Source organism: Homo sapiens, chromosome 11 (assembly GCF_000001405.40).
Source record: "Homo sapiens chromosome 11, GRCh38.p14 Primary Assembly".
NCBI lineage: Eukaryota > Metazoa > Chordata > Mammalia > Primates > Hominidae > Homo > Homo sapiens.
In genome coordinates, this window is record NC_000011.10 from 6,246,975 (window position 1) to 6,272,333 (window position 25,359).

General features: G+C 45.3%; 1 protein-coding gene across 3 annotated transcripts, besides 2 other annotated features; it reads left to right on the top strand.

The window, feature by feature from the left end:
• Positions 1,191–1,391: a silencer, noted in NCBI's record as "peak1186 fragment used in MPRA reporter construct". NCBI's record gives its function as "represses an SCP1 promoter by STARR-seq MPRAs in K562 erythroleukemia cells {active_cell/tissue: K562}" and the evidence as "EXISTENCE:reporter gene assay evidence [ECO:0000049][PMID:32103011]".
• CCKBR (cholecystokinin B receptor) lies at positions 12,864–25,153 on the top strand. Of its 3 annotated transcripts, NM_176875.4 has the most exons (5): positions 12,864–13,105; positions 22,695–22,946; positions 23,114–23,363; positions 23,672–23,829; positions 24,037–25,153. In NM_176875.4, exons 1-5 carry the CDS (start codon positions 12,955–12,957, stop codon positions 24,567–24,569), a joined length of 1,344 nt encoding a protein of 447 aa, NP_795344.1. In that variant the 5' UTR covers positions 12,864–12,954; the 3' UTR covers positions 24,570–25,153. The 3 variants fall into 3 exon arrangements, with proteins under 3 accessions (NP_795344.1, NP_001350481.1, NP_001304958.1); NM_001363552.2 differs by having other exon boundaries at positions 23,672–25,153; NM_001318029.2 differs by lacking the exon at positions 22,695–22,946.
• Positions 23,182–24,381: an enhancer, noted in NCBI's record as "CDK7 strongly-dependent group 2 enhancer chr11:6291386-6292585 (GRCh37/hg19 assembly coordinates)". NCBI's record gives its function as "activates an origin of replication core promoter dependent on BRD2, BRD4, P300/CBP, MED14 and CDK7 cofactors, with strong dependence on CDK7, by STARR-seq in HCT116 cells {active_cell/tissue: HCT116}" and the evidence as "EXISTENCE:reporter gene assay evidence [ECO:0000049][PMID:35650434]".

Below are 25,359 nucleotides of genomic sequence, written 5' to 3' on the forward strand. Positions count from 1 at the left end.
CGGAGCTTGCAGTGAGCCAAGATCGCGCCACTGCACTCTAGCCTGGGCGACAGAGCAAGACTCTGTCTCAAAAAAAAAAAAAAAGTTACAGCTTTTTGAATTATAGGATCAGAAACAGAAATTGACAGAAACTTTTTGCCAGAGATTTTGTGGGAGTCTTGGAGTTTGTTTTGTTTTGTTTTGTTTTTGAGACAGGTTTCACTCTGTTGCTCAGGCTGTAGTGCAGTGGTGCTATCTTGGCTCATTGCAACCTCTACCTCCCTGGCTCAAGCAGTCCTCCCACCACAGCCTCCCAAGTGGCTGGGACCACAGGTGTGCACCACCATGCCTGACTAATTTTTGCGTTTTTTGTAGAGATGGGGGTTTTGCCATGTTGCCCAGGCTGGTCTTAAACTCCTGGACTCAAGAGATCTGCCTGATTTTGCTTCTCAAAGTGCTGGGATTACAGGTGTGGGCCACTATGCTCAGCCAAGATTTTGTTTTTGAAAAATAGGGCTCCTAGGATTTCACTAACGATGGAGTTAGGGGTAAAATGTGCCCTGTTGTCTGTGAGAGCTTAAGAAGAGTTTAAGAAGCGGAAGTTTCTTCTGACAAGGGGAGATTCCCTAAGACAAGGAAAAGGAATGAGATTCTTGACAGTTATATTAGTTTTTTGTGGGGTTTTTGTTTTGTTTTGTTTTGTTTTGTTTTTTTGCTGCTGTAACATATTACCACAAATTTAACAGCTTAAAACAGTACCCATTTATTCTCACAGTTCTGTGAGTTAGAAAAATCCAAGCCAGTGTCAGTCAACTAGACCTCTGTTCGGGGCCTCCAAATGCTGAAATCAAGGTGTCAGATGGACTAGGCTGTTACCTGGAGACTATAGGGAAGAATCTGCCTCCAAGTTCATTCAAGTTGTTAGCAGAATTCAATTCCATTGACTGTAGGACAAAGATCTCTGATTCCTTGACACATGGCCCCTTCATCTTCAAGTCAACAAAGGCATATGAAATCTTCCTCATTCTTCAAATCTCTAATTTCCCCCTTCTACTACCAGGCTAAGAAAGATCTCTCCTTTTTAGGGTTCATCTGATTAGAGTAGGTTCATCTAAATAATCCAGAATAATCTCCCTATTTTAAGATCAACTAATTATTAACTAACTTAATTACCTTCTCAATGTCCCTTTTGCCATAACCCTGGGAATAACATCAGAGGGCAAAAGTAATAGAAGTCAAAATTCTACCACAGGATTTCTAAGGGAAAAAAGCAGCCTAGACTCCACTTTCTATGAGGGGCCAAAATAGGGAACACTAAGAGTTGAGTCTTTGGAAAGAACTGGAGAATGATCACTATGCTGGAACAGGTACTGGAGACTCAGAGCAGCATCCCCTAGAAGTGTGCAGGCTTGAACAAGGCACATACCAGCATTATCAGCATGCTCCAAAGACCAGAGGCCCTGCCCCAGATGTTCTGTTCAACATAAAAGCCCCAGAGACTTTCGCAAGGCCCTAAATTGGGAAAGAGAGTGGGAAGAAAGCCCAAAACACAACTGAGATTAAATCTCCCACATAGTGAAAACAGTATGGAGATTCCTTAAAGAATTAAAAGTAGAACTACCATTTGATCCAGCAATCTTACTACTGGGTATCTACCCAAAGGAAAAGAAGTCATTATATGAAAAAGACACATGCACACACATGTTTATAGCAGCACATTTCACAATTGCAAAGATATGGAACCAACCTAAGCGCCCATCAACCAACAAATGGATAAAGAAAATAAGGTATGTAAGGCTGGGCGCGGTGGCTTATGCCTGTAATCCCAACACTTTGGGAGGTGGAGGTGGACAGATCACTTGAGACCAGGAGTTTGAGACCAGCCTGGCCAACATGGTGAAACCCCATGTCTACTAAAAATTAAAAAAAATAGCTGGGCATTGTGGCACACACCTGTAATCCAAGATACTCTGGAGGCTGAGGCAAGAGAATAGCTTGAACCCGGGAGGTGAAGGTTGCAGTGAGCCAAGATCATGCCACTGCACTCTGGCCTGGGCAACAGAGGGAGACTCTGTCTCAAAAAAAAAAGAAAGAAAGAAAGAAAAGAAAGAAAATGTGGTATGTATATGCCATGGAATACTACTCAGCCATAAAAAGGAACAAAATAATGTCTTTGGCAGCTTGGATGGAGCTGAAGACTATTATTCTAAATGAAGTAACTCAGGAATAGAAAACTAAATATTGTATTTCTCACAAGTGGAAGCTAAGCTATGAGGATGCATAAGAGTGATATAATCGACTTTGGGGACTCAAGGGGAAGGTTGGGAGCGGGTGAGGGATAAAAGACTATATATTGGGTACAGTGTACACTGCTCAGATGATGGGTGCACTAAAATCTCAGAAATTACCACTGAGGAACTTAACCATGTGACCAAAAACCACTTGTACCCCCAAAGCTATTGAAATGATAGATAGATAGATAGATCTTTCATAAAGTATTTAAAAGTTTAAATGAGAATTATCTGATTTAGACAATCAAATGTCTAATTTTTTACACACTGTTGTGGAATAATTCACAAACTGCTCTACATGTATTATCTGATTTGGTTCTTAAAACAATGTGAGGAAATTTAAATTATTATTAATTCTATGATGCTGATGATGCTGATGATGTGGTGATGATGCTCCTCTTTCCAGATCAGGAATCTGAAGCCCACAGAGCCACTAAAGATATTAGATCGGATTTATTGAGAAGTTACTTTATGCCAGATCCTGGGTTAAGTGCACAGTCTCGATCCTAAAACTATATGAGAAAGATGTCATCATTACCCCATTTTGAGATGAGGAAACCAAGATTCTGGGATTAGATAACTTGCCCAATATCACAGGTCCCTAAGTCACATGGAATGAAGCCCAGGTCTTATCTTTTAGGGAGATAAGGAAAGGAATCACCTGGTTTGAGGCCAGGGCCAAGCAAGCTCTTCCCTTCTTGAGAATGACTATCAGAGGCAGTAATTGCAGTAACCAGGGGGAAGAAGCCAGCTGTGCCAGCGAAAGCTTGTGAGTCACTGGCGAGGCTGCCTGCCAGCAAAGATAAAGGACTACCAGCTACTCTGGATAAGAGCTCCAGGATCTGCACAAAATACAGCTGTGAGAGGAGGGCAGGAGTTTGAGAGCCACGGCTAGATTTCTACAGAGGTGTCAAGACTGTTCTAGGGCCTTCCTTCTGAGAGCCCCACTACTTTGGGCTTAGCTCTGTTCCCTCCTACAGGACCTGGGGCCTCACTTACTTATTTCCTTGGGTCCTTAGGAAACCTCAGCCTGACTAAGATTTGGGATGTAGACTCCTCCTTGGTGTTCCCAGTTAGCTACTCCCCCACAGAATCTTCTTGGACCCACCACACCCCACCCTTTCTTTCTTGGGGTTTGGCTGCTAGCCCCATAAGGCAGATGGAAATAAAGTATCAAGCTTGGGAGGAAATCAGATTCCTAGGGAAAGGGGCCATTCAATCCAGTGGAGTGTTTGCTCCTAGTGCAAACACTAGGAGCCAGAAGCAGGAGGCAGGGTGGGAGGATTCTAGTTTGGGTTAAGCTGGAGTTTGGCTTGAGGCTAGGATCAGAGGTGGTGGTCAAGCTGGGTTAGAGCTGGGATCAGAGCCATGACCCACGTCAGGGCAAATGTTAGGCTGGCCTTAAAAAACAACATATAGGCCGGGCGCGGTGGCTCACGCCTGTAATCCCAGCACTTTGGGAGGCCGAGGCGGGCGGATCACGAGGTCAGGAGATCGAGACCATCCCGGCTAAAATGGTGAAACCCCGTCTCTACTAAAAATACAAAAAATTAGCCGGGCGTAGTGGCGGGCGCCTGTAGTCCCAGCTACTTGGGAGGCTGAGGCAGGAGAATGGCGTGAACCCGGGAGGCGGAGCTTGCAGTGAGCCGAGATCCCGCCACTGCACTCCAGCCTGGGCGACAGAGCGAGACTCCGTCTCAAAAAAAAAAAAAAAAAAAAAAAAAAAAAAAAACATATAGAAAACAGCATGCATTAGGTGCCAACTAGACTTGTATTTTAGTTCTGAAACATCACTTCCTAGCTGGGGGGCTCTCAGCCTCTTCCTCAAAATCTTTCAGGGTTGTTTAGAGAAATGCTGAAGATTTAAAAATCTAAACAAGATAATGAATGTAAACTGCCTACTAGTGCCTAGACGGTGATAATTTCTTAGTAATTAACAGTAGCTATGACTATTACTCGTGTCCCTCTAGCAGCTATTGTGTCTTTGAGGGCCCTGGGCACAGGTTGTCCTGCTCTGCTTGTCCCAGGCCTCTGGCGGGGCTTCCAGGTTGTGCAGGCAATACCAGGTCTGACCAGCAGAGAGCAGAAGGCACTTCTTCCTTCCTTCCTTCCAGCTCACTCCCAGGCCTTTGGATTACATTGCCTTGAAAAGCTTGGAGAATTTCTCAGGGAGAAATGGAATCTTAGGGACAGGGAACAACGTTGGGGAATTGTGATCTCAACTGCTCTTGTTTAAGCTTTTTTCACAATGACTGAAATATATCAGTGGTAATGCTGAATGACGTTACTGAAGAGGATGTGCTAATCAGAGCCTAAAGCAGCCCTGTCGCAGTCAGCACCACTGAATGACTGGGAACATTCAGACAGCCCCTCACCAAAGTTTGAAAATTCTTTGTGCTTCTCACCACTAGTTCACATGAACCCTCTCTGTGTCTGTCTTCACCTTTTCAGTCCCCATACCTTGGCCTGTTGTCCTCAGCCTTTTCTTCACCAGTATGTCCAACAGACAGGGCCCCAGAGGCTATTAGCTTGTATGCATTCATGGAAGCCTTCTCTCGGAATGACCTCCTGTTGGCTTTCTCAACCTTTGAATGAGGCCCTGACCTGGGAGATCTAGGCCTCTCTTGGCCTACCCGTGAGGGTCTACATCTGAAGTCAAGTATCCAGCCAGAGCCAGCCCCTGAATGGGTGCCTCTGCTCTTCCCCAGCACAAGCCCCAGGCTTCTGAAAGGCCAGTCCTTGTCCTGGTTTCTTTCGTCTGCTCAATAGCCCTGCCTGCTCTGGCTCTAGCCCATCTGCCTTCTCAGCTGGCTTCCTCTGTTTAATCATCCCAAGAGAAGGGCCTCCTGTTTGGGCAGGGAATGTGTGGGCAGGAGCTCAGCACAGAAGCAAGTCTGCATGTCATAGAAATGCAGAGAACAGAAGGCCTTGAAAGATATAAGGAGAAGGTGGCCTAATCAGACACAGAGGGCGGGGCTGAGCCAATGGGGAAAAGGGCAAGCTGGGCACCCCAAGGACTAAACTGTAGCTGATTTCTCTCCTAGCGCCAGACCTCAGCTGCACGTGTGTGCGTCAGAACCAGGAGTGCTGGAGGCAGAGCGTATTACATGACCCTCACACTACTGGGAATGTAAACACTGGGTTTCCTGGTTAAAGCACTGATATTTTGTGGACCTTGCAAGCTACCTAGAATAAGCAGTCCCTTATAAAGCAGCTTATCTGGCACTGTGCATGAGGCAGTAGGTTCTGCTCTCTGCGGTTGTTTCCCATGAATATTTACTGAAGTTTTATTTCAATGTTCCCCTCTTATCTCAGTTGTGATATAGAGTATTGAAAGAAGGATCGTGTGCCCACATTTGGGCCAATGGGGCAGTACCATGGGAGATTGAGACTTCCCAAAAGGGAAAGTAAATTGTTCTAGCTACAAGAGTCAAGCTAGGTGGTCCAAAATCCCCCTCTAAAAAACCAAAACCAAAACTAAAACCAAATAACAAACAACCTTGGCAGGTCAAAGCTTGAGTTAGAAAGACAGATTCCCTCAGGACTGAGCCCAGGCCTACTTCAGGACCTCTTGCATGTGCTTCCTTGACCTCTTAGTTTTCTGACTTGTTCCTGGACAAGGGTCCAAGTCTCTTTCATATGCCTTTGCCCACATTGGCTTTGCAATTCCTTCCTTACTCCGATCTAAAGCATCCCTATTTTCTTGCCCTGAGATATCCCATTCTCTCCAAAATGCTGGCTTATGTCTAGCAAAGGAAGTATAGATGGAATTTCATGATTTCGAGAAATGAGTTATACCCTTTTAGCACTACATTTTCATTCCTTTCCCCTCCATCCTCTGCTCCCCCTCCCTTCTTCACTATAGCTATTACTTGTTTTTTATTTTCCCTTTTACAAAACATCTTGAAATCAATCTACACATGCCATCTCCTAGCCCTCACCTTCCATAACCCATCTGCATTTAGTTAGAGGGGAGAATATGGGCAAGATACAAAGATGATGAAAACTTGGCATCCACAAGGAAAATATAAGATATTTGAGGCTCCTGAAGCCAAGTGTGACCATCCAGCTAGAGCCAGTGTTTGGGTGTGAGAGTAAACAAAAGATAGAAAGTAAGTAATGACAGTAGTGTGACGAGAAGTCTGAGAAACTATTGGAGAGAGGGACATGTATTAGTCAGCTCAGGCTGCCACAGCAAGACACCACAGACTGGATGACTTAAACAACAGAAATTTATTTTCTCACAGTTCTAGAGCCTAGAAGACCCAGATCAAGGTACCAACACATTCAGTTTCTGGTGAGGGCTCTCTTCTTGGCCTGCAGAAAGCATCCTCACATGGTCTTTCCCCTGTGTGTGGCTTGCAGGGGGAAGAGGTGGCAGGGGATGAGGGAAATGGTGGATCACAAGATATCTGGTGCCTCTTCCCCATCTTGTAATGACAACAGTTCTAGCCCCACCCTTATAACTTTATTTAACTTTAATTACTTCTTTAAAGGCCCTATCTCCAAATACAATAACAAGGGCAGGAGCCAGACCCTTGGAATATAATTCTCTCTTCTCCATGTCCAGCTGAGATTTTATGGCCCGTTTTTTCACACTTGTCCCTTTATTTTGCCATTCCATTCATCTGGTAAAATTCCAACTTTGGATGAACCAAACCATCAACATTCTCCTTGCTTGCATCCAACCAGCTGAGCTCTGCTGAGAAATTGATCCCACTAGAAATTTGTAGTCATCACCCCTTAAGTGGGCCCTCAGTATTTTCCTATTATTTCACTACATTCCTCAGGTCTCCTTTTCCCTTCTCCCATTATATATTGTTTTCTTAAACCATCTTGACTACTAAAAATTTTCATCACACGCACACACACAAACACACACACACCACTCTCTGATAACCAGATCTCCAACTCCATAGCAAAAATAAAAACTATCAGACAGCAGCTCCCTACCAAATCTACAAACAACTGTCTCAGTTAAGATGCAGGTTAGGTTGCCCTGACAATAGAGGAAAAAAACTGTAACGAGTTAAGACTGCAGTTTCTTTTTCATGCAGAAGAATCAGGGATGATAAAATGGTTTGAGAGTATAGGAGACCCAGACTCCTTCCATTTTGTCACTCTGCCATCCCTAATATGTTACCCTCACTGCATGATTGAAGGTGGCTTGCTTTCCTATTTACATTCCTATTGCCCTCCCATAGGGGCAAAGAGGAAGAGAAGGTCCATTTCTCTCCTTTAAGACCTTGATGTGGAAGCTGCACATATCACTTCTACCTACAGACACTACCTAGTCATAGTGTGCATTTTTTGCACTTAGCTGCAAAAAGGTCTAGGAAATGTAGCGGTTAATTTGTAGGCCATAACTTATTTTCATCTATAATCATCTTTTTCTACTAATTTCCTCTCACAATTGAGTCTCTACTGCAATCAAAAGCTAGGATCCTCCACTTCCGCTCTGGATTGCATACATCCCTGACTTCTCAGGAACCTTGCATTATTAATTAGCCATTCTCCTGTATCTTTAGTCTTTTTATATATTGGAGTAATTCCATCTGCCAAAAAAATGAAAAAAAGAGAAAGAAAGAAAGGAAGAAAGAGAGAAAGAAAGAAAAGAAAGTTCAAGTCCACCCATCTTAAAAAAAAAAATCTTTCATTTGACATCCTCTTGCAGCTCTATCCCCTTTCCTTAGTAACTACATTTCTTAAAAACTTGTCTGAAGTCATTTACTCCACTTCTTCCCACCATATTCAGTTTTCAGGACATCTACCCTGCCTTCTGCCTCAACAACCTCACTAAAATGGCTCTTTCTAAGGTTGCCAAAGATCTCCAGGTTACTAATTTTGGACCACATTTCTCATTCCTCATTTTGCTTACCCAGGAGCAGCATTTGAATGAGTTCACCAGTTTCTTCTTGCACCTCTTCTCTTTTAGCTTTTATGATGCTTCACTCTCTGGGTTTCCTCCTGTCCCTCTGTCTACTCTTTCTTGGTGTCTTTTGCAGGCTCATCTTTCTCTATCCAGTCTTTAATAATGACCTCTAAAAGTCTGACTTGATCCTTCATTTGTTCTTATTCTACACACTCTAATTCTGTGGTTTGCATTACTTCCTATATGATCTGTATATTTAGCTTCCTAATGGAATTCTACTTAGGTATCTAATAGACATCTGAAACTTAATATGTCCAAAACAGAACAGATTTGATGGTGGGAGTTTCTCTGTGCTAGTTACTATTTTCTCTATGAAGTTGGAGTCTAGGTTGAGAGTGAAGAATGCTCTGTGTCTCTGTGTGTGTGTGTGTGTGTGTGTGTGTGTGTGTCAGGGTGGGAGAAGAAATTAGAGATTTTATGAGACGAGAAAATTTAAAAACAATATTGTGTAAAATGAGAGAAAGAAGGTAATCAGGGAAATTTGGTAAGACATCTACTCATTCTAAGCAGCACAGTATGAACAACTGAATTCTGATTTCCAAAATCCCTGACTTTGACTTCTGGCTCTTTCACCTAGTAGCTTTGTGGCTTTGGGCAAGTTACTTAAACTCTCTCTAAGCCATAGTTTTTTCATCTAAAATAGTGATCAACAATATTGGACCTAAATTCATGGTTCTTCATGAAGATTAAATGTACTTACAGGTAATGTGCCTTGAACATCATAGGTGATCATCAAATAGTTTATATTGAGTTACCAGAAACCTTATTCATTTTTTATCTCATCCTTCTTTCTCACCCTCCACATGCAAATTATCTTTAAATTCTGTTTCTACCTCCTAGATAGGTCTTAGATCAATCTTTTCCACTACGTCCATGACTTTAGGTCAAGCCACTACCATCTCTCACCCAAATTACTGTCATAGACTCCCAATTGGTCCCACCTTTTAAGTTGCTCCCCACACTAACTCCACTGCAATCTTTCCAAATCTTTCTAAATCTTAACAAATTTCCAATGCTCCCAATTCTTCCTTGCATGGCTTGCAAGAGTCTGCATTTGCTGCCTCATGAGATAGAAGGTGTATGATTTGTCTGTTGCTGTTGTAATAAATTACCATGAATGTAGTGGCTAAAAACAACACCCATTTATTAGCTCACAGATCTATTGGCCAGAGGTCTACACAGTGTGGCTGGGTTCTCTGCTCAGGGTATCAGAAATCAAGGTTTCAGCCAGACTGAATTCTCTTCTACAGACTCGGGGGAGGACTGAAGTCTCTGTTCTTTTGCTGGCTGTCAGCTAGAGACTGCTGTCAACTAGAGGCCACTCTCAGGGCTTGTCCTGTGCCCTCCTTCACCCTCGAGCCAGAAAACAGCCACCATTCGTTCCTTGCCACATTATCCCCTCCATCTTCAAGCTATCAACAGTGTGTTGAATTCTTCTCATTCTTCCAATCTCTTTGATTTCCTCTTCTGCTACCAGCAAGAAAAAAAGAACCCTTGGCTTTTAAAGAACTCATGTGACTTGGTTAGGACTAGCCAGATAATCTGTCTATCTTGAGATCAACTGATTAGTAGAATTAACTCCATCTGCAAAATCCCTTTTGCCATATAACATAATTGTGGGAGTAGTATCTCATCATATGCACAGGTCCATCCACACACAAAAGAAGATTATATAAGGGTGACAGTCATTGGTGGTCATCTTCTAATTCTGCCTACCCAAGGAGAGGAAGCCAGGGGAAATATCCCTGAAGAATCGTAGCTTGAGCTGAGATCAGATGGATGAGTAAGTGTTAACTAGGTAAGGAAGGAAAGAAGAAGCTTCCAGAGAGCATATGGAAAAGTCATGCAACTGAAGGACATATAGCAAAAAAAAAAAAAAAAAAAAAGAAAAGAAAAAAGAAAAATAAAAGAGAAAAAAGAAGGAGTGACCAAAAAAAGGCTAATGTGTTTACAGTGGAGAGAATAAGAATCATTGTGACTCTTATTTGAAATAATGTGATTTGAAATAATGTGGCTAGAGAGGTAAGTGGGAGCCAGGCCTCACAGGCTTTCTAAATTCTGTTAATATGTTTTCTCATTCCCAAAAGCAAAGGTCAAAAGAGTGGGATAGTCAGATTTGTATTCTGAGCATAGTACTTCGGCTTTAAGGTGAAGTATAGATGTAGAGAGGCATCAGTAAAATGTGGTGGCCCATTTAGGAGGTTAGGAGTGTGGTTCAAGAGTAGGGTAATATCAGTGGACATATAAGCAGGCAGATTCAAGGAACACTCAGTAGCTAAAATGAACAGGACTTTGTGATTGATTCAATATGGGAGTGATGTAGTTATGTTCCCCAGGAAGCAGACTCTCAAACAAAGATTACTGTGGAGGATGTTTACTAAGGAGCGTTCTTGGAGTTAACACCTGTGCAAGAGAGAGGATGAAAATAGGATTGGGCAAAAGGAGAAGCTGAGTAGTAATTCAGTCCCAGCAAAGACCTCAGTCAACCATATGAAGGGTTCTAGGGGTGTGAGCATCTTTCAGAGTTGTCCACCACTGGGTTGAGGGGATTAAACTTTTATACCTCTGTGCTGATCGGTCATTGGATATAGAATGCCCAAGAAAGGGAGCATAACCTTGGATGAGCTGGCTTTCTTCTGCTTAGGCAACTCCTGAAGGGTTATGACAGCTGAGGGCCATCTTTTAGGAGCACTCTCCACAGCTGGAAAATAAATCCTCCATTTTTGAAGAGGGTTCTGGGCTTTGCATCACAGCATCCAGCGCAGGGGTGAAGGAGCATAGGGGAGTAAGGCATCAATAATAATTCCTAAATTTCTGATTTGTACATCCTGGTGGGTGCACTTAACGACCATATATTACAATCATTGGCTTGCTTGGGAAAATCCCACTAGAGTAGGTGCTACTGAGGGGCAAACTATATTGGACAACTAGTGCATACCCCTAGAACTGGCATAGTTTGCTAAATAAGTGAATGTCCATCTATTTCTATTTTCACTCCCCTCTCCCTTACATCCTTTGCTCCCTTCCCTCCTCATCGTACTGTCATCCAATGTGGGAAAACTTGAGCAGGTTATCTGAGGCCCCACCTGTGCTGGAGCGGAACAAATAGCAAATCAAGCTCCTCTGGTCCAGGCTCTCTGATGGGCAAGACAGGCAGTACCAGGAGGAAGGAAAGGGGGAGCAGTTGATGACATCTCAGGCATAAACTGTCTTTCAACTCTCTTTCAATGCTTCAGCCCCTATAAACTCAGGGCTGGCTGAACCAGGTCCTCTCCAAAAGATTAATTGGATAAGGGCCTGCTGAATCCCCCATAAAGCCAGACTCCATTCTCTAATTTGCTCTTCCACTGATGCCCGCCCCCAACCTCTTACAGCTACTGCTGGGGGTCAGAAGAATTTCACATCGTATTGGAGTTCATCCGGAATCTGAAGAATGGATAGGAATCTGGAGATAGGAATCTGGAGATAGGAATCTGGGGAAGAAAAGGAATGGATAGGAGAATGCATAGGGAGCAGGGCTGAAATAGTAGAAGAGGCAAATCCTGCCCCGAGAAGCTGAACCCAGTTCAGTCCTGCACCCTTCAGCCCTGTTCCCGCTGCACCGCAGTGACCCAGTCCCCTTCTAGCCCCCTCTCGTGGGAACCTGACACCCTACACAGGCAGCTCTGCCTGCACTGAGAGCAAACAGGGAGCGTTAGCGTGTCGGGTGGGCGTGGGCGCTGCCTGGAGACGGTGGAGAAAGCCAACCTTCTCCTTCTCTTTTGCCTGCGCTGGGCCGGCGTTAGAATTATATCCCATCCTCACCTTACTCTGGTTTATCCTTGTCAGTGCTTGCCACCACCCCCAACTGCCCTCAACACTCAAGTCAGAAGCTTCCTCCCGGGAGCCCTTTTCCCTGGCAAGGCTTCCCTGGAGCCAAATCTCGGCCCCGGCCCCACCCCCACTCCCGCCCAGCTGTGGAGGGCTCCTTGGGACCCTTAAGTGCAAGCCTGAGTGTTAAGCCTCAGACAGGAGATGGAGGGTGCGGAGACAGATGCAGGAGCTACCCCAGGCCCGCAGCGAGGAGCTGCAGGGAACTACGGTAGCAATAGTGTCACGGTCACTGCGGCCACTGCAACACAGTACGGTAAATGCGGCTCTAGGCTCAGACTAAAGCATCCGCGCCTCAGCAGGTGACGCACGCAGACCTGGTCTCCAACGCCACCTCCACGTTCCCTGATACACCAGAGAAAGATGCTGGATCCGTGGCAGCCGTCTCTACCCAACCCCTCCTACCCTCCCTTCCCCGAAACCTCCCCCTACGCTGCCAATACTCTTGTCTTCAATCTCTCTCTCTCTCTCTCTCTCTCTCTCTCTCTCTCTCTCTCTCTCTCATTCCTGGGAATCGGGGGTGGGGGCGGGTGATAAAGAGAGGTGGGCAGGAGAGAAATCTCTAAGAGGAGACGGGACACATCTAGGGAGGGGGCGAGCCTGGAGGACAGTCGCACAGGGAGGGGCAGAACTCCCGAGCCAGGGAGGGGGTGCACAGTCACCTGGCGGGACAGAGGCTGGCGGAGGGACGGGAACCCAGGCGGGGCGAGCCGCGGGAGAGTGGAGGGCAGGCGCCTGGGCTGGGGGCGGGGACCAGGCGGGGCAGGGGGCAGGGAGAGGAGGGCGGCGGGAGCCTGAGCCGGAATCGCAGCGTGAGCAGGTGGAGCCGCGTTGGGAGCCCGCCGGGTCGAGCTGAGTAAGGCGGCGGGCTCGGCGGGGGCCATGGAGCTGCTAAAGCTGAACCGGAGCGTGCAGGGAACCGGACCCGGGCCGGGGGCTTCCCTGTGCCGCCCGGGGGCGCCTCTCCTCAACAGCAGCAGTGTGGGCAACCTCAGCTGCGAGCCCCCTCGCATTCGCGGAGCCGGGACACGAGGTGGGTGCCTCCCTCAGCCCCCCCCACAAGCTATTTCTCACTGTACCCCAGAACACTAATAGAGTCCCCCCAACGAGCTCCACACTACCTTCTCAAACGTCCACACCGTGCCTCTCATAGTACTCCCTCAGCCCCCAAACAGCTCCCCTCACACCTTCACCCCCACAGCCTACAACTTCATCACAGCTTCACACCACCTGGTCGGAACTCCTTCACATCCTGGTCCCCTGAATACACCTAGAGCCCCTGCTCACCCCAAAGCACAGCCCCTTCCCCAACACGCAGCCCCTCCTAGACACCAGTCAGAAGGCGAGGACCTCCTCTTGCCAACCCTGCAGATCTCCTTTTCCCTCTTACATCCAGTTCACAGAGCCACAACAGAGAAGGGAAGGAAGAAAGGAAGGCAGGACTGGGAAAAGAAGGGGGCTGGTTGAGGGAGGGAGCACTCTGGAAAGCTTGAATGCGAAGCTGAAGTTGTGATCACATCTGACACCCCAGCCCCCAGCCATCCCAAAAAAGATCCTCAAATCTGAATTAGGCTGGACACTAGGGGATGCTCCTTAGAGCTGCCTGCCTCCATTTCACTCCTTCTCAAACCCCTCTGCCTCCCTAGTTGGAGCTTTCGAGGCTCTGTGCCCTCTCTCTTTGTCTGCAAGTAATGTCTCCAGCTATCTTCCAAGCTCTCTCTCCAGCCCTAGGCTAGGTGCTGGGGGCACAGGGCAAACTAGACCCAGTCTGGACCCTCATGGCCCATAGCCAAGTGCAGAGAGAAACCAAGCAAATGGAAAAATCACAGACACAATGGAAGTCCCATGAAAGGGTCTAAACTGTGGGCACCAAAAGAACTTCACAGAGGCTAGAACCTTAGAGCTGGGTCTTGAAGTTGAGTAGGCAGAAAAGGAAGGAGTGGGATTCTAGGTGAAGGAGCAATGTTAAGCAGAAGGAAATTTTTCTAAACTCAAAAAGGGAAAGTTGGAATAAATTGTAATCCAAGTATTTATTTACCCCACGAAATAATCTATGCTTTCTCAGCCGAGTTGTTACACACTCACACTTGGATTCTGTCATTCAGCCAATATTTATTGAACCAGAGATTGTGCTAGGCAGTGGGAATGTAAGTTGAACAAAACCGACACAATTCCTACTTCACAGAGCTCAAAGTTTAATGGGCGAGACAGAAAAGCAGGGGATTGCAGCACAAAGTGGAAGAGCCTTGACAGGGAAAAGATAGTGGGAACACAAGTGGAACACCTCTAGCCCAGCCCAGCCTCCTTGAGAATTAAAGTTGGCCTCTTGAGGAAATGAGCTACAAAGTCAAAAAAATTAGGGAGGCTGGCTCTAAGCTTCCTGTTGGCAAAAAAAAAAAAAAAAAAAAATATATATACACACACACACACACACACACACACACACACACACATATACATATGGGAGAGCCAGCCAAGTGAACGGGCAGAAGAGGCAGAAAGCATCCCAAATAAAAGGACAAGATGTATAAGAAGCTCAAAGTTTGAATTCATGGCACTTTTATCCACTGTGACATAGTTTTGAGTGACTAGAACATATATCTTAAGAAGGGAATAATGAACAGGCTGGAGACCAGCCTAGAGGGTTTGCAGAGAGCCTGCTAGGCCTGACCATGGAACATGGACTTTCTCCCGAGGGCAATAGGAACTACTAAAAGATTCGGTAGTACTACCAGGATTAGTTCTATAATGTGGAGAACGGATTGGAAGACATAAGATGGAAGGCAGGGGGATACTTTACAAGGTTACTATATTACACTGTTCTGGGTGAAAGATGATGCTAGCTGAGACTAAGGTAATGGCAAGGGAGATGGAGAGAGGTGGATAGATTTGAGAGCCTCTTCTGGAAATGGAATCAACAGATTAGAAGCAGAGAGGATGGAAGAGGTCAAGGGATGACATTCAGATTTCTAACTTGGACAACTGAATGGATATTGGTGCTATAGCAATTGTATACAATGAGAAAGATAACAAAACAGCAGAAACAGGTTTGGAAGAGGGAATTATAAATTCAGTTTGGAACCCATTGAGTTTAAATGTTAGTGGGGCATCCAGGTGAGGTTACCTAGTAAGCTGTTGAATCCAGGGGTCTGGAACTTACAGGAGAGGTCTGAGGTGGAAATACAGACTTGAAGAAGGTCTTTGCCTACAGGATGTAGAAGCCCCGAGAATAGTTAAAATCATAAAATTTTGTATAGAATGAGAAGAAAATAGGTCCTAGGTCAAGACTCTGCATAAGACCATTATTTAAAAGCCAGGCAGAGAAAGGAGAATTTATGAAGGAGATTCAGATGAAACCATCAGAAAGGCAGGAGCTACGCCCTTCCAGAAAGCAAGAAAAAGAGAGTTTCAAGCAGGTTGGGGTAAGTGATATCAAATGCTATTGACATAAGTTACATAAATAAAAAACAGGACAGTCAGAACAGCATCCTTCACATTCAATAACAAGAAAATATTTAGGAGTTGTAGGTATTGAGGCTTGACTATGGTAGGTTAAAGATTGGACTGGTGAGAGAAGGAGTTATGAGAAGTGAACCAAGGTATGTAGCCAAAACTTTCAAGAAGTCTGGTAGGCAAAGAAAGAGAGAGAGAGAGAGAGAGAGAGAGAGAGAGAGAGAGAAAGAAAAGCAGGATATTGCCAAAAATAGCATGAGATTGAGGAAGGGGGGAGTGGGTATGTGCATAGGTTTGTTACGTGTGTGCGCGTGTGTGTGCACGCATTTTAAAACAAGAGCTTTTTAAAATGTTTGTTGGTGATTGGGCCGAGAGAGGAAGATTGAAGGTGCAGATAAGAAAGGGGATAGTCAATAGAGAAGATTCCCTGTGAAAGCGGGATGTGACGCAATTCAGAGCACAGGTGCAAAAATTTGCCTCACTTATCTAAATGCTCCTCACACATTTGGATGTTACCCAGCCAGTCAGATGTTACACACAGAGACCCTGTCAGCCACACTCATTCAGATATTATCCCTGCAGATGCATAGGTTACCCAGGTTCACTCCAATGTTACCAATAGGAATTTGGATGTTACCACTTTATTCTCCTTATATAATCCATGCAGACTTGAGTATTACCCATGTTCACTCAGATAGTACCCACAGAAAGACAAATGTTACCACACTCACTTTAATATTGTCCGAAGTCATTTTGGTGTTACCCATCCATCAAACACTACTCACTTTCATTTTATTATTATCCACACACAACCAGATATTACCTATGCTCACTTAAGTAAGCTTTTCCCAGATACTACCCATAAAATTACAAATATTACTCTCACATACTCAGATAATACCCACAAAAGCTTAAATATTACTTACATTCACTCAGGTGCTCAGTTATTTCATTTACTCAGATTAACATCTTTTTTTTTTTTTTTTTTTTGAGGCAGTCTCCCTCTGTTGCCCAGGCTGGGGTGCAGTAGCATGATCATGGCTCATTGCAGTCTTGACCTCCGCAGGCTCAAGTGATCCTCCCACCTCAACCCCCTAAATAGCTGGGACTACAGGCATGTGCCACCACAAGTGGCTAATTTTTTGTATTTTTTGTAGAGATAGGGTTTTTCCATGTTGCCCAGGCTGGTCTCTAAATCCTTGGCTTAAGAGATCTGCCCACCTCAGCCTTCCAAAGTGCTGGGATTACAGATATAAGCCACCATGTCTGGCCCAGATTAACATCTTAATTTAGTTAACATGTTAACATCTAACATCTGTACTCAAATACTACCCATACATACTTGGATATTACTTCTGCTCAGTCAGCAATTTCTATCATTATTTGGATATTCCACTACTCACAAGTAGACCTCTGAATGTAATCTATGCTTCCTGAAGATGTTACCTACAAAATGTTATCTACAGAGAGTTGGATATTAACCCTTGCTCTTTCAAATGTTACTACAGTGACTCAGATATTATCTAAACTTAAATGTAAGCCATATTCAATCGGATATTACCTATAAGCATGTAGATGTTACCATTCTCCAGATATGTCCCACAGAAATAAGCGTGACTTTCACCTACCCATATACTATTTCAAAGATTAAAGTATGCCCAACACTCACTCTGATATTACCTACACACCCTTGCATATTACTTCTGCTCCCTCAGTACCCACTATGTGGATTCCCCCATTCACCCAGCCACTACCCACAGTCAGTTGGATGTGATCCCTGCTTATCATAGAGACAAGGGTATTACTTTGATGTCTGTGTGCATGGGTGAACAGATCAAACCTGCCAGTAGAATGCAGAATTTAAGGCATCAGCAGCTTCAGTGTTCTGTGGAGTTTTTCCTTAGAAAGTCTTGGTTTTCATTTTATGTCACGTTGTCTGGATTTTTGCACTCATACTTCTCTGCCATTATCTAGACAGAACAAATACAGATCTTCTAAACACCAGGAGAAGAACTGAACTGTCCCAATCTTCTGAGTCGCCTGGTCTGATGCCAGTTTTCCTCATCCCCAGGAAGATGATGAGATGATGCTCACGGGTAGACTTATCAAGGCACTTGTGGATGTACCCCAGCAGGTGCTATCTCCCATCCTTCTACCCATGCCTGTTTCCTAGTCACTGAAGCCACTGTCATCACTCATATTCCACCATGCAAACACACATCAATACACACACACACACACACACGCATACAAGTCTAAGTCTGATTTATTTTGTGCATGACTTTTTAAACTAATGGATTATTTTTAGAGCAGTTTTAAGTTTACAAAAATTACAGAGTGCCCATACACACACAACCACACATATACACAGAATTTACCCTATTATTAACAGCTTACATTAGTGTGGTACATGTGTCACAATTTATGAGCCAATATCAATACATTATTCTCTAAATTCTAGAGTTTACATTAGGGTTCACTTTTTGTGTTGTATGGTTCTATAGGTTTTGACAAATGTATAATGGCATGTATCCATCATTACAGTATCACACAGAATAGTTTCACTGCCCTAAAAATCCCCTGTACTTCATCTATTTATCCCTCGCTCTGCCTCTCCAAACTCCTGGCTCTAAAATTGCTTTTAATTAGAATTTTTCACATTTCTGAACTGTTCAACAGCAAAGACGTGTGGAGACAGTGGTGGCTGGAAATAAGATAATAGCTAGGAATGTCCAGTAAAACAGCAGAACACTGCACAGTTGCTGGTCATTTTTACTGGGACTTTGTCTTATAAATTTCAGGAGTCCCCAAGCATATTGCAAACTTTATAAGGGTAATATTTAGCTCCATCTTTATGGTCTATCACAATTAGCCAAGTTCAAGGGCACACACATGGGACATCAGCTGGATGAATGAATGAGAAATTGCTTTTCATGCTTCACAGTACTGTACCAATTTGAGGTGTGGCGAATTGCATCAATAATTAGTTGAAGAAAGACATCCAGGGCAGATGTAAGCAAGATAATGGAACTAGAAAGATTAAAGAGGTGGAGGCTGGGGGTGGGAGGACAATGGATTTGGAGAAGAAACAGTGAGTCCAAGATAAACCACCAGCTCTTTTCTGAGTCCAAGGACCTCTCTGACAGAGGTCTCCCTCCTAAAAGTCCTTTATTCTCCACCATACACACTTACTCCCCTCAAATTTTGTCACCTATAAGCCTTCTGTAATCCTTCCTTACAGAGAGAGGCCCAGCTTCTAAAGGAAATATAGATGGTTTGCATATAAAAAACAAAAGTTATGCATCTGAAATCATAACCTCTCACTGACCCCCACAAGGACCTTCCAACATGTGTCTCCAAAAAGACAGAGGCAAAGAAGAAGAAGAAAGGGCATGCTGGAGCACCTCTGCAGAGATGACGGATGGATGAGGAGGGGGAAAGCAGGTGCACTTCTGTCTTGAAAGACAGAATCATCCAAGATTCATTAACAAGCATGTGTTGACTGCCTCCCCTGTGCTAGGGATGATGAGTGCTAGGGATATACTGGAGAGCGAGATGGACCTTGCCACTGTCCTCAAGAAGCTCCTAGTCTAGTGGGGAAGACAGAGAATTACATACATACTAATACAGTGAAAAATGCCATGGTTGAGTATAGAGAGAGGGAGAAAGAGGCATTTAGATTGAGATTTGATTAAGAAGGAGGCAGTATGGGCCAGGCGTAGTGGCTCAAACCTGTAATCCCAGCACTTTGGGAGGCCAAAGCAGGTGATCACCTGAGGTCGGGAGTTCGAGACCAGCCTTACCAATATGGAGAAACCCATCTCTACTAAAAATACAAAATTAGCCGGGCGTGGTGGTGCATGCCTGTAATTCTAGCTACTCAGGAGGCTGAGGCAGGAGAATCGCTTGAACCCAGGAGGCAAAGGTTGCGGTGAGCCAAGATCATGCCATTGCACTCCAGCCTGGGCAACAAGAGCAAAACTCCATCTCAAAAACAAAAACAAAAACAAACAAACAAACAAAAAACATGGAGGTAGTATGATGAATAACAGAGTACTGCAGGAACAAACAGTAGGAGGCAAAGCACATTAGGGATCAGGGACTTGGCTTCTATTCTGATTCAGCCCCTTATCAGGTGTGTGGTCTTGAGCAAAGAATGTTACTGCTGAGTTCGGTTTGGAAGTTTTTATAAATAGCATTTATTTGATGCCTACAATTTCTAAATAAATTGGTTTTTGTTATGAGAAAATACAGTCATGCATTAACTAATGATGGGGATACCTTCTGAGAAATGCATCATTAGGTGATTTCATTGTGTAAACATCATAGAGTGTTTGTCACACAAACCTAGAAGGTATAGCCTACTACATACCTAGGCTATACGGTATAGCCTACTGCTCCCAGGCTGCAAACCTGTACAGTATATTACTGTGCTGAATATTGTAGGGAAGAGTAACACAATGTTATGTATTTGTGTATCTAAACATAGAAAAGGTACAGTGAAAATACAGCATAAAAGATAAACCATCATACACCTGTATAGGGCACGTACCGTTAATGGAACTTGCAGGAGTAGATGTTGCTCTGGCTAAGTCAGTGATGAGTGGTGAGTGAAAGTAAAGGCCTAGGACATTACTGTACACTACTGTAGACTTTATAAACACTGGATACTTAGGCTACACTAAATGTATTTAATAATAAATTAAACTTAGCATACTGTAACTTTTTACTTTATAAACTTTTTGACTCTTTTGTAATAACACAGTGTAAAACAAAAAACACATTGTATGGCTATACAAAAATATTTTCTTTTTTTATACTCTTATCCTATAAGCATTTTTCTGTTTTTAACTTTAGAAAAAAAAAAAACCTTTCTGTTAAAACCAAGACACAAACACACACATTGGGCTACACAGGGTCAGGATAAATATTGCCATCTTCCACCTCTACATCTTGTCCCACTGGAAGGTCATCAGGGCAACACCACACATGGAGCTGTCATCTCCTATAATAACGGTGCTTTATTCTGGAATACATCTTAAAGGACCTGCCTGAGTCTGTTTTATAGTTAACTTTTTTAAAAAAATAAGTAAGAGTATACTCTAAAATAATGATTGAAAGTATAATGTAGTAAATACATCAACCAGTCACACAGTCATTTATTATCACTATCAAGTATTATGTACATCATTGTATGTGCTAGGCTTTTATATGACTGACAGCACAGTAGGTTTGTTTATACCAGTATCCCCACAAACACATACGTAATGCATTATGCTGCAATGTTACAATAACATTACTAGGTGATAGAAACTTTTCAGCTCCATTATAATCTTTTGTTGTTGTTATTTTGGGTTTTGTTTGAGACAGAGTCTCACTCTGTTGTGCAGGCTGGAGTGCAGTGGCACTATCATAGCTCATTGCAGCCTTGAACTCCTGGGTTCAAGCAATCTTTCTGCCTCAAACTCCTGAGTAGCTATGACTATAGGCACGTATCACCACACCCAGCTAATTTTTTATGTTTTGTAGAGACGGGACTTTGCTATGTTGCTCAGGCTGATCTCAAGCTCCTGGCCTCAGGTGATCCTCCCGCCTTGGCCTCTCAAAGTGCTGGGATTACAAAGATAAGCCACTGCACTCAGCTGTTCATTACAATCTTATGAGACCACCATCGTATATGAAATTGGTCATTTACCAAAACATCGTTATTCAGTGCATGGCTGTAGTTTTCAATTTGGGAGCTAAAATGAGAATCAGTCAAAGTATGGGGCTCTGGAAGAGGGGGCTGCAGCTTTGAGGCTTTCCTTCTCTGCAATCTAGGAGGCTCTGTCCCCTGCCCTCTCTACCTTCCAGCTCTAATCCCTCTCATGCTGAGGCCATAGGTGTGAGTAATTCAGTCCTGTTCAATCCAATTCGATTTTATCTAAATCTGCTTGGCTGTGATGTGGTGGTCCAAAGATTAATCCATCTTTTAATAGACAATGACACAAAAGAATGGGGTCAGCCTCCCAGCCCCTCTGCCTCACACAGGTGTCCCTCCTATGAGCTCCAACAGCACCTTATACATCCTTCAGCCTCACTCCTTATCACATCTGTTTATGTATCTGAGTTTACTTCCCCACTGTGAGCTCTCAAATGGCAGGGATCTTGTCATGTTCATCTCTTTGTCCCCAGTGCCTAGCACAAAGGGAGTCCTCTGTAAATGTTTATAGAGTGAGAATGAATGTTTGGAGAGAATTAAAATACAAGGCAGAAGTAAAATAGGCTGTAATAGTTGTGTAAGAAACAGGCATGGGTCAGAGAAAGAGGAGAGTAGAAGGGCCTTACAGAAGGGCCTTACAGAAGAAGTAGCAGTCAATTTGAGTCTTGACCAACAAGGGATGAATAGGAATTCACCAGATACAGAAAATAAGCTTGTGATGAGGGGTAGAAGTTGTGAGGAGGGTTGGTAAAAGAGTATTCCGGTCTGAGAAACCAGCTTGAGCAGGGAGAGAGTCACAAGTGCAAATGATGCATTCAAGAAATTGAGTCATCCAGTGGCTTGCTTAAATGCCTGCTGTACAGGGAGGGGGTGGGAGAGAAAGAAGTCCCTTCTGGGAGGATCTTGATGATATTCTGAGGGGTTGCAGACAGTAGAGAGTAAGTGAAGTATTTTTTTTTTTTTTTTTTTTGCTTTTGTTTTTAGAGAATAAAGACATGATCTGATGTGATTCAAAAGGTAGTGGGTTGTCAACAGTGTAGAATACTCTAGCGGGGTCAAATAGAGTAGGCTAAGAAAGGACCTTTGAATTTAGCAGTTAAAGATTAGTGTACTTGGGAAGAAGTATGCACTGATAGGGCACAGAATATTGTATTGTAATGGAATGAAGAGTAAATGAGAAGACACAAATATCCTCTTAAGAAGTTTGTCTGCAGAAAGAAGGAAAGATTTGGAACGAACCTTGAGAAGAGACAGGCTTTCTTAAGGAAGGGCAGAGTTGGGCCAATTTAACCAAACCTCAAGGGGTTAGAAGGCTAAAGGATTCAAGTTCACCATTTACTGAGCAGTTCATCGGTGGGGAATGTAGGCATCTGGCTGGGTAGTGAGGGTTGGGGATAAGACGGAAGGAGGGGGATTTGACTGAATGAAGGCTGACCCCCTACTGCCACCTCTCCCTTTTCTTACCCAGAATTGGAGCTGGCCATTAGAATCACTCTTTACGCAGTGATCTTCCTGATGAGCGTTGGAGGAAATATGCTCATCATCGTGGTCCTGGGACTGAGCCGCCGCCTGAGGACTGTCACCAATGCCTTCCTCCTCTCACTGGCAGTCAGCGACCTCCTGCTGGCTGTGGCTTGCATGCCCTTCACCCTCCTGCCCAATCTCATGGGCACATTCATCTTTGGCACCGTCATCTGCAAGGCGGTTTCCTACCTCATGGGTGGGTGAGACAACCACCCCACCCCCACTTGCCACTCTCCCCGCCTAAAGCTCTTGTGGATGTAGGGGTCTTCCCCGGTTGGCAGGGAGGGGTGTGAGGAAGTCCCACTGATGCTTGTGTAGTGCAAGTTTCCTAGGTGACTCCTTCCTTTCTCTTCCCTTGTTTAGGGGTGTCTGTGAGTGTGTCCACGCTAAGCCTCGTGGCCATCGCACTGGAGCGGTACAGCGCCATCTGCCGACCACTGCAGGCACGAGTGTGGCAGACGCGCTCCCACGCGGCTCGCGTGATTGTAGCCACGTGGCTGCTGTCCGGACTACTCATGGTGCCCTACCCCGTGTACACTGTCGTGCAACCAGTGGGGCCTCGTGTGCTGCAGTGCGTGCATCGCTGGCCCAGTGCGCGGGTCCGCCAGACCTGGTGAGCTTGCCCATAAACTATCCTAGGAATTCCTTTCTCACCCCTATTAGATGCTTACGACCATTGCCCAGAATCTTCCTCCAGCTTCCCGGAGAATTACCACGCCAACTCCTATTCTGCATCCACCACCCTGGAGTTCCAGTTTGGGGCCCCTCCCCAGTTCTCTCTCCCTTCCCAGCGGCACCCCCAAATCCTACTCCTACTTCAGGTACCTGGCCACAGCCCTAGAAACACTAGTCCTTGGCTTTTTCTCCATCTGTGATTACAGCTGGACAGAAACCCGAGTGATCTGTCTGTGTTGCCTTCAGGTCCGTACTGCTGCTTCTGCTCTTGTTCTTCATCCCGGGTGTGGTTATGGCCGTGGCCTACGGGCTTATCTCTCGCGAGCTCTACTTAGGGCTTCGCTTTGACGGCGACAGTGACAGCGACAGCCAAAGCAGGGTCCGAAACCAAGGCGGGCTGCCAGGTGGGGCTGGACCACGTGAGCAAAATCTGGGCGAGGCGGAGCTTTGGAGGGCGACGGGGCCTGCTGGAGTGGGTGGGACTGAAATGAAGGTGAGGGTGAGAAGGAAGCTGGAAATGGAGTTGAGCTGGGAGCGGAGGTCAGGTGGGGACTGGGCTGGAGACTGGGGGGACTCGCCTTTTTCTCTGACCGCCCACCCTTTGTGCTCAGGGGCTGTTCACCAGAACGGGCGTTGCCGGCCTGAGACTGGCGCGGTTGGCGAAGACAGCGATGGCTGCTACGTGCAACTTCCACGTTCCCGGCCTGCCCTGGAGCTGACGGCGCTGACGGCTCCTGGGCCGGGATCCGGCTCCCGGCCCACCCAGGCCAAGCTGCTGGCTAAGAAGCGCGTGGTGCGAATGTTGCTGGTGATCGTTGTGCTTTTTTTTCTGTGTTGGTTGCCAGTTTATAGTGCCAACACGTGGCGCGCCTTTGATGGCCCGGGTGCACACCGAGCACTCTCGGGTGCTCCTATCTCCTTCATTCACTTGCTGAGCTACGCCTCGGCCTGTGTCAACCCCCTGGTCTACTGCTTCATGCACCGTCGCTTTCGCCAGGCCTGCCTGGAAACTTGCGCTCGCTGCTGCCCCCGGCCTCCACGAGCTCGCCCCAGGGCTCTTCCCGATGAGGACCCTCCCACTCCCTCCATTGCTTCGCTGTCCAGGCTTAGCTACACCACCATCAGCACACTGGGCCCTGGCTGAGGAGTAGAGGGGCCGTGGGGGTTGAGGCAGGGCAAATGACATGCACTGACCCTTCCAGACATACGAAACACAAACCACAACTGACACAGGAAACCAACACCCAAAGCATGGACTAACCCCAACGCACAGGAAAAGGTAGCTTACCTGACACAAGAGGAATAAGAATGGAGCAGTACATGGGAAAGGAGGCATGCCTCTGATATGGGACTGAGCCTGGCCCATAGAAACATGACACTGACCTTGGAGAGACACAGCGTCCCTAGCAGTGAACTATTTCTACACAGTGGGAACTCTGACAAGGGCTGACCTGCCTCTCACACACATAGATTAATGGCACTGATTGTTTTAGAGACTATGGAGCCTGGCACAGGACTGATTCTGGGATGCTCCTAGTTTGACCTCACAGTGACCCTTCCCAATCAGCACTGAAAATACCATCAGGCCTAATCTCATACCTCTGACCAACAGGCTGTTCTGCACTGAAAAGGTTCTTCATCCCTTTCCAGTTAAGGACCGTGGCCCTGCCCTCTCCTTCCTTACCCAAACTGTTCAAGAAATAATAAATTGTTTGGCTTCCTCCTGAACTTCCTTTCTGGATTCTTCTGGGGCAGGTGAGGAGGCATAGGATTTTGCAGTATCCTTCTGTCGGGTCTCTCCCACTGTTGCACACTGCTGTGCACAACCCCTTGCCAGAAAGCCCAGCCTCTGAGGTTCAGCGTGGCTGTGCATATTCTTTCTGAGTTTTCATCCTCTACCTACATTCCAATGTTGCAATAACTGTGAATGGGGA

Coding starts and splice junctions, on each gene's coding strand:
- CCKBR (NM_001363552.2), top strand. CDS start 12,955: ATGGAGCTGCTAAAGCTGAACCGGAGCGTGCAGGGAACCGGACCCGGG. Junction 13,106..22,694: donor TCGCGGAGCCGGGACACGAG/GTGGGTGCCTCC, acceptor TTTCTTACCCAG/AATTGGAGCTGGCCATTAGA. Junction 23,364..23,671: donor GCGCGGGTCCGCCAGACCTG/GTGAGCTTGCCC, acceptor TGTTGCCTTCAG/GTCCGTACTGCTGCTTCTGC.